Source organism: Homo sapiens, chromosome 13, assembly GCF_000001405.40.
Source record: "Homo sapiens chromosome 13, GRCh38.p14 Primary Assembly".
NCBI lineage: Eukaryota > Metazoa > Chordata > Mammalia > Primates > Hominidae > Homo > Homo sapiens.
The window spans coordinates 99691979-99704929 of record NC_000013.11 but is presented as its reverse complement, the minus strand read 5'-3'; the positions used below and the strand labels follow the sequence as shown (position 1 = coordinate 99704929).

At 44.6% G+C, this 12951-nt stretch overlaps 1 protein-coding gene across 10 annotated transcripts in view, besides 1 other annotated feature; it reads right to left on the bottom strand.

The window, feature by feature from the left end:
• CLYBL (citramalyl-CoA lyase) overlaps positions 1 to 12951 on the bottom strand; it is a 302755-nt gene that overhangs the window by 204515 nt on the left and 85289 nt on the right. The gene's annotated exons all lie outside the window — the stretch shown is intronic.
• Positions 12023 to 12780: an enhancer, noted in NCBI's record as "H3K27ac-H3K4me1 hESC enhancer chr13:100344404-100345161 (GRCh37/hg19 assembly coordinates)". NCBI's record gives its function as "activates a minimal SCP1, AML or CMV promoter by ChIP-STARR-seq in primed H9 embryonic stem cells {active_cell/tissue: H9 hESC(primed)}" and the evidence as "EXISTENCE:reporter gene assay evidence [ECO:0000049][PMID:30033119]".

Here is a 12951-nt window from a genome sequence, read left to right as displayed (position 1 = left end):
CTAGATAACCAAGAGTTGCCTTGTTTTTTGTCTAAGTTTGGCTCATGTAGGATGCTAGGAAGGATTAAAGACTAGGCTTAGGATCCGTGCTCAAGATGACCTGTGCATATGAAAGAAGTCCGTCTGCTGACAACAAAGTATTTAATATTCTAGGACAATGAAGTGTACTACCATCACCTGCTACTTCCTTTTAAATTAATTATATCAACTTAAACAACACATTTATTGAATGCTGACTGTCAAACGGCCCCCAAACCTGGCGTGTGCACCTGGTTCTTCTAAGTTTGTACACAGTCGAGCACCTGGCTCATAGAAAGTACTCAACACAGGCCGGTTTCCCTGTTCACAGGTCATAGTGTAAATACTTAACCTAGCAAAGAAAGAAATGCATTGTTGTTAGACAAGTTATAAATTGATATAATCATTATATGAGTCCTAATTAGCATCCAAATTAGTTTGCAATCATGATTTAGGTTTACAGGAAATCAACCTATGGCAACTGGGCTATTTTATAATGCAGAACTAGACTTCAAATGTTCTGAGGACATCCGTATAACTGGGTCACTGGACTTCCAAAAAGAGAAAGTAACCATCAAAGTAATATATTCCAAGAAGATCTCTATATCTGGGTCACTGGACTTCCACAAAGAAAATGAAACCATCAAAGTAATATAAATAAATCTTTCCCTTACTCTTTCCTGAAATGTGTCAGATAAAGGAAAAAGATATCTGAAGGCTTGGAGGAAATGAATGACAACACTCATTCAGAGTGACAACCCTCATTCAGAAGAAAGATCTGAATGTCATTAACAATATAAAGAAGTCTCCTTCTCTTGTTAATGGCTTGAGTCTTTACATAAGCAACTTTTACATAAATAACTTCCACAGGTGCTTTTTTCCTTTACCACATTCTCTAGAAGTCACTGACAACTGCAAACACAGGAATATCTCCACATGCATAAGCTTAGGTTTTGTTTTATAACTGTGAAATTTATGAGACATAGCATTCTATAAATCTTTATGCATGCTATACATTATCTTATATGTATAAGCTTTTTTATGTCTGTTGACATAAAAGTAGGAGCTTCCAACCAGTGGATAAGAGAAGATTAAGGTCAAATTTTTCATTCTGCTCTAAACCCAGGAGATGAGCTTACAAATAAAACAAACAAACAAATGCATTGTTTAAAGGAAAAAATATAGATAATCTTTCTGAATACATCTCCTGTGTAAAGGACATGTATAAAAAATGAACTAATTTTGGCCAGGCACAGTGGCTCATATGTGTAATCCCAGTGCTATGGGAGGCCAAGGTGGGCGGATCACGAGGTCAGGAGATCGGACTACTCTGGCTAACACGGTGAAATACCGTCTCTACTAAAAATACAAAAAATTAGCTGGGCATGGTGGCATGTGCCTATAGTCCCAGCTACTTGGGAGGCTGAGGCAGGAGAATCGCTTGAACCTGGCAGGCAGAGGTTGCAGTGAGCCGAGATCGCGCCACTGCACTCCAGCCTGGCGACAGAGTGAGACTCCATCTCAAAAAAAAACCAAGCAAACAAAAAAACTAATTTCAAAGGCATCCACACACTAAAAAACAAAGACAAGGTGGGAAGAAAACAAAAACCTGATATCATACTAAGAAGCTATGGTCACTTAAATTTAAAAAGGGACAATGGAGATGGTGGCCCCAACTGATCGCCTGCTTTGGCCTCCCAAACTGCGGGGATTACAGGCTAGAGCCACCTCGTGCCCAGCCCCGGAAACACAAATTGGATGGCAAGCCACAACATAAAAGAATAAATACAGAGCTAGTCCTGTTTGCATAATAGTCTGGGTTCAGTGAAATTTGCACTTCAACTAGATTACCTGAAGTGCCTTTTAAAGTGCTTAATAGTCTAGGACAATGAATATAGCACCCTTTTCTTTTGAAAAGATACTGTATTCACGTGGTTCCGAAAGGTACCAAAGAGTTCATGGTGGAAAGTATTCCTCTCACCCACTCAGCCCCTTTGTCTCTCCTTCACCTCCAGGAAGGTAACTGATGTTGTCAGCTTCTTATGTAGCAGAGCAACGTGCTTAGATATAAATCCAGAAGAACTAAAGGCATGTGCAGGTGACCACAGTAAAGGAGATGGAGCCAAAAAGGGCTATTTTCCAAGGAGCATCTTAATCTTTTTCCTCCTCGCCCCTTAAGGCAAAAAGCCTCTAGGCGCTCAGAGCTCTGTTTTATTTTGAACTTGCAGAGCATTCTGCATGAGCCTTCATTTTTAAATAGGTTTTTTTTTTTTTTTTTTGAGACGGAATTTCACTCTTGTTGCCCAGGCTGGAGTGCCATGGTGTGATCTCAGCTCACTGCAACCTCCGCCTCCCAGGTTCAAGCGACTCTCCTGCCTCAGCCTCCTAAGTAGCTCGGATTACAGGCATGCGACACCACGCCCGGCTAATTTTTGTATTTTTTAGTAGAGACAGGGTTTCACCATGTTGATCAGGCTGGTCTTGAACTCCTGGCCTCACGTGATCCACCCGCCTTGGCCTCCCAAAGTGCTGGGATTACAGGCATGAGCCACCGCGCCCGGCTGTGAGCCAATTTTTTAAGACCCCCAAAATAAGTAAATTAGGTTAAAAAGCAGACTTAAAAATATGTGGGCTGAGCGGAGTGGCGCATACCTGTGATCCCAGCACCTTAGCATTTTGGGAGGCCAAAACAGGAGGATCACTTGAGGCCAGGAGCTCGAGGCTGCAGTGAGCAAACATCATGCCACTGCACTACACCTGGGCCACAAAGCAAAACTCTGTCCCTAAAAAACAAAACAAAAAATAAAAGGTGTGATGAAAACAATGCCTAACACATAGTAGACAATCAGTCAGTAGCTGCTGAATGTCAGTGTGGCTCTAAAATCTGACACACCTGGGTTTGAATGTTGGCTGCTACTTACAGGGGAGAGGGGGTATCACTTCACTCCTTTGTTAATAAAGTATGTAACCTCAGCACTTTGGGAGGCCAAGATGGGCAGATCACCTGAGGTCAGGAGTTTGAGACCAGCCTGGCCAACATGGTGAATCCCCATCTCTACTAATACAAAAATTAGCCGTGCAAGGTGGTGCACACCTGTACTCCCAGCTATTCGGGAAGCTGAGGCAGGAGAATCACTAGAACTTGGGAGGCAGAGGTTGCAGTGAGCTGAGATCACACCCCTGCTCTCCAGAGTGGGTGACAGAGTGAGACTTCGTCTCAAAAATAATAATAATAAAATAAATAAATAAATAAGAAGTGATACTCAAGCCTTTGTTAAATGGGAATAAAACCACATCCTCAGGCCGGGCGCGGTGGCTCACGCCTGTAATCCCAGCACTTTGGGAGGCCGAGGCAGGCAGATCACGAGGTCAGGAGATCGAGACCATCCTGGCTAACATGTGAAACCCCGTCTCTATTAAAAATACAAAAAAATTAGCCAGGCGTGGTGGCAGGCGCCTGTAGTCCCAGCTACTTTGGGAGGCTGAGGCAGGAGAACAGTGTGAACCCGGGAGGCGGAGCTTGCAGTGAGCCGAGATCCCGCCACTGCACTCCAGCCTGGGTGACAGAGCAAGACTCTGTCTCAAAACAAAAACAAAAACAAAAACCACATCCTCCCACAGCTGCTGCTATCTTACTGGATTTAAATGAGACAATATATATAAAGAGGTAACATTTCCTGATATGCATTAAGTTCTGGGAAATGGCAGCTATCTTTATTTTTGTTGTGGGATATTTACAACCTCCTATGTACTTTTGGTCACAGAGATTATTTAGAGACTTGGTTGCCCCTGAGGGCACCCAAGGCTGTCACTGCAACATCTCTAACTTTGCACCATGCTGGGATGAAGTGACAACCGGCCTGGGCTCCTGGCTGTCTTACAGCATCCTCTGTAACATCACTGAACCAACGTCAACTTCCTCTGAGTGGAGAGGAAAAATTCACACTGGAAAACTGACATCGACGAAGAAATCTTGACAATCAGAGAGGGAAAAAAATCCAACTTTTCCGTAATGAATACTAAATCATTTGTTTTCAAGTTCTTTCATGCTGTGTTCAGAGAGACAGCATATATTGCCAGTGTCCCATTATACCTTAACGCCAAAAAGAAAAGCATTCAAATGTTGATTCTTGAGGCATTATGTTTACTTATCACTCCCTGCAGCAAATACACATTTGAGTTCTCTGAAGACTGGCCCACTCCATCCACAAAACGCAAACAGCCAAGACCAGTGAGGTCCTTCAACGTGAAAGGGACATCAAGGCTTCGGGGCCCCTCAGCTGCTGGGAAGAGTTGTGTGTGTTAGCCTGGAAACTTGAGGGAGTCAAAGCCCCAGACTTCCCATCACAAACACCACCACAGGACGGAACTTGCCTCCTTGTCGTGGGTCCAGTGTCCAACCTGGGTTGTTTACAAGTAGCCATTTAGCGCCTTCCTTGGTGCTGTTGTTTTGTTTTGTTTTGTTTTGAGATGGAGTTTTTCTCTTGTTGCCCAGGCTGGAGTGCAATGGTGCGATCTCCGCTCACCGCAACCTCCGCCTCCAGGTTCAAGTGATTCTCCTGCCTCAGCCTCCTGAGTAGCTGGGATCATAGGCGCGCGCCACCATGCTCGCCTAATTTTAAGTAGAGATGGGGTTTCTCCATGTTGGTCAGGCTAGTCTCGAACTCCCGACCTCAGGTGATCCGCATGCCTCGGCCTCCCAAAGTGCTGAGATTACAGGTGTGAGCCACTGCACCCGGCCTTGGTGCTGTTTTTACACCGTGGGTGTGTTTGTTGTTGCCCTTCCAGTGAAGGAGAAGAGAAGAAATGGGAATGCTAATGCCTGTTTTCATTGCTGGCTGCAATTTGAAATGGGAAAGTGCAGTAACATTAGGTTTATTTATTTATTTATTATTTTCATTTTATTTTATTTTACTTTTTTAGATGGAGTCTCGCTCTGTCGCCCAGGCTGGAGTGCAGTGGTGCAATCTCGGCTCACTGCAAGCTCCGCCTCCGTGGTTCACGCCATTCTCCTGCCTCAGCCTCGAGTAGCTGGGACTACAGGCACCCGCCACCACGCCCAGCTAATTTTTTTGTATTTTTAGTAGAGACGGGGTTTCACCTTGTTAGCCAGGATGGTCTCGAACTCCTGACCTTGTGATCTGCCCACCTTGGCCTCCCAAAGTGCTGGGATTACAGGCGTGAGCCACTGCGCCTGGCCTATTTTTATTTTTTTTTTTGAGACGGAGTCTTGGTCTGTCACCCAGGCTGGAGTACGGTGGCGCGATCTCGGCTCACTGCAACCTCCGCCTCCCGGGTTCAAGCAATTTTCCTGCCTCAGCCTTCTGAGTAGCTGGGATTACAGGCGCGTGCCACCATGCCCACCTAATTTTTGGTATTTTTCGTAAAGATGGGGTTTCGCCATATTGGCCAGGTTGGTCTCGAACTCCTGACCTCGTGATCTGCCTGCCTCAGCCTCCCAAAGTGCTGAGATTACAGGCGTGAGCCACCACGCCCAGCCACGTTTTTATTTATTTATTTATTTAGAGACCGGAGTTTCGCTCTTATTGCCCAGGCTGGAGTGCAATGGCACGATCTCAGCTTACCACAACCTCCACCTCCCGGGTTCGAGGGAGTCTCCTGCCTCAGCCTCTCGAGTAGCTGGGATTACAGGTGCCCACCACCACACCCAGCTAATTTTGTATTTTTAATAGAGACGGGGTTTCTCCATGTTGGTCAGGCTGGTCTCGAACTCCCGACCTCAGGTGATCCGCTCACCTCGGCCTCCTAAGGTGCTGGGATTACAGGCATGAGCCACTGCGCCAGTCCCAGGTTCATTTTTTAAAATGTCAGTGTTTAACATTTCCTCCATGTTAATGATGAAGGGAAAAAAAAAATCTTACTCCGAAAAATGACTCTTTCATAGAACATCAGTGTTAGTTTCTGAGTGGCACGTTTTAAAAACATTTAATCAGTAATCTGAATATATGTCAACACCTTCTGGCGGTGTGCTATAAAATGTGAACCTTGTCAACAGCAACAGAAAAAGGTGACACACTTGGGACACAGAGCTTTTATGCTGACACACAGTAATAATATAATTTTAAAATTTATCATCTGTTTAGCTGCAAGCAACAACAATTAATCTTTTTGACAATTCATACAATGCTTTAAATAACACCTGGGCAGAAAAACCACACATTCTAATTTTTACTTTCATCATCTTCCAGGGCTTTATAGCTACAAATGCATATAAAGCCACACACAATAAATTTTGTGATTAGGATTAAAATGTTAGCAAAAAATATTTCCCTTGTCACCGCATGCCCCTCCTTGCCTCAGTTAATAAAATTACTTAACATGAGAACTGGAACTGAGAGCAAGTCCCAGTGGAAATGTGGGCCTCCAAGGGTTCATTTCTGTCACGTCAAATGACATTTTATTCCCAAATCATTTAACCTACGACTTTGCATAACTACTTATAGCTTGAACGTAATTCTGATGGGGACCCAGAAATGACACTGATCCCTCAACTAGAAACTCCATCAAGGCACGGTAATACTGAGCCCATCTAATTTAACAATTAAAAAAAAAAAACAGCAGCCAGGCACTACTCGGGAGGCTGAGGCAGAAGAATAGCTTGAACCTGGGAGGTGGAGGTTGCAGTGAGCCAAGATTGTGCCACTGAACTCTGCACTCCAGCCTGAGAGACAGAATAAGACGGCACCTCAAACAAAAACACAAACAAAACAAACAAACTCCAGCATGGCAAAACGTCTTCAAAATGTTCAGCAGCATGAAAACACATATGTGTTGTAAAGATTTGTTTCATGTGTCCTGTGAGGCTTCCTGAAATTTAGTATTAGGCCACACTAACAACCTTAATTAATCTCTTTCCTATTACACATGAAACCAAATGCACATTCCCAAATATACCTGTTGGCCCAGTGCCCTGCTGCCCTGGTGCTTTAAAAGCCTGTTGGGAGGCCCGGTGGGGTGGCTCACGCCTGAAATCCCAGCACTTTGGGAGACTGAGACAAATGAATCACTTGAGGTCAGGAGTTCGAGACCAGCCTGGCCAACATGGTGAAACCCCATCTCTACCAAAAAATATAAAAATTAGCTGGGTGTGGTGGCGGGTGCCTGTACTCCCAGCTGCTCGAGAGGCTGAGACATGAGATCTGCTTGAACCCAGGAGGCGGAGGTTGCAGTGAGCCAAGATCGAGCCACTGCACAACACAGTGAGACCCTGTCTCAAAAAAAAAAAAAAAGAAAGAAAGAAAGGCTGGGTGCAGGGGCTCATGCCTGTAATCCCAGCACTTTGGGAAGCCAAGGCGGGAGGATCACTCAGCCTGGCCAACATGGTGAAACCCCATCTCTACCAAAAAAATACAAAAATTAGCTGGGTGTGGTGGCACGTGCCTGTAATCCCAGCTACTGAGTGGGGAGAATCACTTGAACCTGGGAGGCAGAGGTTGCAGTGAGCCAAGATTGCACCACTGCACTCCAGCCTGGGTGACAGACAGCGACCTTGTCTCAAAAGTAATAATAATAATAAAAAGCCTGTGGGATAAAGCAGAGCCAACATCAGCACGAAAGAAGACGCAAGCGAGAGTGAGTAAATCAAAAGCTAGTGACATTTGCAGATAAAACTATGGGCGGATCCTTGCAAATAACAGTAACCCCACTGTCTGCACACCCCTTTACAATTACCCTTCCAAGACTTTGATTATACCCATTTTACAGATGAGGAAAGCAGAGTGCTACAATTCAGGGGCTCTCCCAATCCACATCTACATCCCATGTGTTTTGTAATGTCATACACCCCAAATATCAACTAAGACCCCACAATAATAAAGAAGCTAAGAGGGCTTGGCCAAATGCATAAGGGCATTACAGGACAATGGCTGTGGTTTGGAAAAGCAGTAGCAGCAGAAATACATAGAAAAAGATAAGCTCTGTTGAAACAGAGAAGACAGGGTCAAAAGATGCAGTATGTTACAATACATAACTGTACATTTGTAGAAAAAAATAGAGACTTAAACTGTCTACAGATATTTCCTTATCTTCTCATCTTTCTTTTCATCTTTTTCTTTTTAAATTTAATTTGTGTGGGTTTTTTTTGTGGTTGTTTTGTTTTGTTTTGTTTTGGTAGAGATGGGGTCTTGCTATGTTGCCCAGGCTGGTCTTGAACTCCTGGCCTCAAGCAATCCCCCTGCCTTAGCCTCCCAAAGTGCTGAGATTATAGGCACAAGCTACCATGCCCAGCCTCATACTTTTTTTTTTCCTTCTTTCCCAAGTCTAGGCCTCCTAGGATGTAATCAAATCAATTTTTACCATGTGCCATGTGTCTTATGTATCAGGACTTGAATCATAGATTTAAATTTCAATAACTTTTACTAACAATCTTTGTTACAGGACACGTGCAGTGGCTTATGTCTATAACCCTGCACTTTGGAAGGATTGCTGGAGCCCAGGAGTTTGAGACCAGCCTGGGCAACACAGGGAGACCCTGTCTCTATAAAAAAACTAAAAATTAGCTGGGTGTGGTGGCATATACCTATGGTCCCAGCTATTCAGGAGGCTGAGGTGGGAGGAACTCTTGGGCCTAGAAGGTTGAGGCTGCAGTGAGCCATGACCATGCCACTGCACTCCAGCCTAGGCAACAGAGTAAGACTCGGTTTAAAAAAAAAAAAAAAGTCTCTGACATGGTTTTGGTGTCAGACTTCTATACATCCCATAACTTTGTCCACACATTTATTAGCAAAAAATTATAGAGCCTTGTCTGGAAAAGACTTGCCAGAGGAGAGCTTGCTATTCTACATGGAAAGTCAAACTTTCTCTAGTGGCCTCTCTGACTCAAGGACCATCACTCTAAATTCCTATTTGAGAGTCTCAGCAAAAACTGCCTAAAGGCTTTCTTTGTTCTTTGTTACTGTTGGGGCTCAGAACACGATATCCCCAAATATGCACCTTGTCCTACTGAGTACTGTAAACTGAAAGAAATCGAGAAAACTGCAGAAGTAGGAAGGTCACCCTCTGACCTTCTCCCTCCTCCCCTGAAGACCCTCATGTGACAGGTGTCCTGCCCTGTACCCAGAGAAAAGAAATGTCACACTGGGGACGGTGGCTCATTCCTGTAATCCCAGCACTTTGGGAGGCCAAGGCAGGGGATCATCTAAGGTCAGGAGTTCGAGACCAGCCTGGCCAACATGGTGAAATCTCTCTCTACTAAAAATACAAAAATTAGCCAGGTGTGGTGGTGCGTACCTGCAATCCCAGCTACTTGGGAGGCTGAGGCAGGAGAATCTCTTGAACTCGGGAGGCGGAGGTTGCAGTGAGCCAAGATCACGCCACTGCACTCCAGCCTGGGCGACAGAGGGAGACTCCGTCTCAAAACAAAAAGGAAAAAAAAAATGTCACACAGGAACACCAAGAAGAATCTGAACGGGCTTGCTAAGTTTATTACGCTACATCAAACCCTTTTGTTCTCTCATCATATTTCTGCTTGACTGTCCATAAAAACGCGGTTTTCCCTGGGTCTTTGAGGCTTCATTTCAGAAGCCTCCTGTGTCACATAAAACTTGTATTAAATATATTTGTGTGCTTTGCTCTTGTTAACCTGTCTTTTGTTATAGGGGTGTCAGCCATGAACTTTGCAAGGGGTATGGAGAAATCTTTTCCTACTTATAAAAGGAACTGATCCCCCAGCAGAAAGGGACCCAGTGACAGGTTCCTCCATGCCCCAGCTCTGAAGAGCTTCTTGGGAAGCTTCTTTGAAACGGTAGCAGGAACTTTTAAATATGAATATTTTATTTTTAAAGTTAGAATTCTGGAATAATTGGAGCCCAGTGAGGGGATTCGCGGCTTACCCAAGCCGTATCGCTCTCGCGGTGGGATGGATGAGGAACCTGAGGCCAAGGACTTCGCGAACATGCTGAGGTCTGTTGAGGCCCCCATGATGATTAACCATTTTCCCATCCCTACAGGGCAGAAAAATCACTTCCCCACTGAGGAGTTCTTTCCCCCAACTTTCAAAAGGAAAAAAATTCCCCACACTTAATCAACTGATATGCAAGTTTCCTTGTAACTGTTATTATCATTTAGGTCTAAGGTCTGAAACAGAACTACCCAGCCAGTGGGGAAAGCACCGATGTCCAGGGCACATGCGCAAGACAGCAACTCTTAAAACGTGTTTAATTACAGGGAGCCCCTCACAGCATGGAGCCAGGACACACAGATCTCAGAAAGCAATTTTCCATTTAGACGTGCTCCTCGGTTAATTAATGAAGCAAGCGGGCCAGCAATCTGGACAAGGAGACAAGGAGCACCCCACATGATACAACACAGGTAAAGGTATGTGTGAGCCGGAATGGAGATGGAACCTGCTGGAACCAAATGTGAAAAACAGCCATTTATAGAGGTGGCCCTGATGGATGGGTAAGTGCCAGGCTGGTGAATGACATGCTGCCCTCTCACTTCGAGGCTGAAACGTGGAAACACTCTGGCCATCTGCTGTGTCTGCGGAAGTCCCCAACACAGACTTGGGGAAGGAAAACGCACGCTTTGGTTGCAGCTGTAACACATACATGTGCACAGCAAATGTGTGTGCACTCTTGGCTCTGCCGGGTTTGCAGTCTTGACCCTCAATGACTGATGTTTTTCTCCAATTGTTCTATCAGATTCCCCAGGTTTTTACAGGAATTGGTTTGTGTAGGGGGTGCAGGACACACAAGGGAGGGAAGACACAGAGCAGCCACTGATTTTCAAATGAGCCCAATTCTACTGTGACCACTGAAATGCCTCACAGATGAAGGAAAGAGGTTCCAGTGCCTTGATGGAGGTTTGCGCCAGCCATAAATCCTGCTTAGCTTCCTTCCATTTACAGTTTATTGCATTAACATTTCTTTTGTGCGAGCTGCTGCTGGGAACCTATTGTAAATTTGGGCAATTACGACTTTTGTTCCATCTGTCCCTCCCCTCCTCAGTACTGTAACATCAAAGGTGGCCAATTCAGTAGGGGCCAGCTCTCTCTTAAATCCAACCTGAAATACATGTTAGAAATCACAGGCTCCGAGTGAAAGGTAGCAGAAGAAATCAGAAAGATGCTGCTCCAGCCTTCTGAGATAGTCTTAAAATAATCTTTCTTAAACCTCCTGCACAATGCTCCCAAGTCAAAGCCTGGATAGGTATCTTAGTGCCTCCTTGTCCAAATCCCCCTTAAAGTAGATGTATGAGTCATTCCTGAACCATGTCAAACAGGGAGTGTGCCCCCAAATACTGGGGTTTCCACCAGCCTTGCCTCTGCTTGGGTTTCAGTGGTACTTAAAATAATCTCTCTTAACGTATCTGCATAAACCAGAGTGGGTCACATCACTGCCGTTGTGGGGATGAGGCAGCCTGAGGAAATCCCAGGATGCTGGTGAAGGTCCCACAGCAGATAAGGAGGGTGTGCACCCAGCTGGAAGGCTTGATGGATAATACCGAGCTGCCTCCATTCCTGATAAGCTGTCACTTGCTACAGGGAAGAGAGAAAGAGAAAGCCTGTGTTCCCAGGTATGCTGGTGATTTTAAGGGAAGGAGGATGTTGCATTGGTCAGTTTTATTCTGACCAGTTTCCTAAGAACCTACTTTGTGCCTTGGTGAGTGCTGGACTGTGGGGGATACAAAGATGAAGAAGGATAATCCCTGTCTCAAGAAACTTAAAACCTAATGGAGGAGACAGATCTAATGATAATGAATATAAGATGCTTCATAATTAGTTTCATAACACAGGCACAAAACGCTATACATCCCAGTTCCTCAAAATGTTAAACATAGTTACCATAAGACCCAGCAATTCCACTCCTAGCTATATACCCAACAAAAATGAAAACGTATGTCCAACCAAAAACTTGTACACAAATGTTCATAGTGAAATTATAATGGCCATAAAGTGGATATCCCCCAAAAAATATCCATCATTGGAATGGATAATGGGGTATATTCCTACAATTGAACATTACTGGGCCAGAAAAAGGAATGAAGTACTAATGCATGCTACAACATGGACAAACCTTGAAAACATTATGCAGAGTGAAGGAAGCCAGAGATAAAAGGGCATATTTATATAGTCCCATTTATAGGAAATGTCCCGAACAGACAAATCTATAGATTTAGAAAGTAGATTAGTGGTTGTCAGGAGAAAGGAAGAGGGGTGCATAGGGAGTGAACCCCAATGGGTATGGGGTTTCTTTTAGGGTAAGGAAAATGTTCTAGAATTAGATAGTGATGATCATTACACAACTTTGTGAAGAGACTGAAAACCACTGACGTGTGTCCTTTAAAAATGTGAACTTTATGGCTGGAGGCGGTAGCTCACACCTGTAATCCCAGCACTTTGGGAGGGTGAGGCGGGTGGATCATAAGGTCAGGAGATCAAGACCATCCTGGCTAACATGGTGAAACCCCGTCTCTACTAAAAGTTCAAAAAAATTAACCGGGCGTGATGGCGGGTGCCTGTAGTCTCAGCTACTAGGGAGGCTGAGGCCGGGGAATGGCGTGAACCCGGGAGGCGGAGCTTGCAGTGAGCCGAGATCATGCCACTGCACTCCAGCCTGGGTGACTGAGCAAGACTGTCTCAAAAAAACAAACAAAAAAAAAAAAACAAAAAAAACAAATGTGAACTTTATGAGAGCTGAACTATGTCTCAATAAAGCGACAATTTTTAAATGCAATGGGAGGTCAGTGTGGGGAGTAATTGTGACTAAGGGGCAGGGCTGGCATATGTAATGCGTCTGCTGGCATTAAGCACAACTTGTGGATTCTAAGCACTTTCTTAAAATGAAAGAATGAGTGAAGAAAACAAATCACTGGATTTACTGTTCACTTCCAGGCTATCATATCCATCCTGGCTATGAAGGATGTACACTGAGTTTCTACGTTCTGAAACTGTTATTACTTAGGCACAGTCCA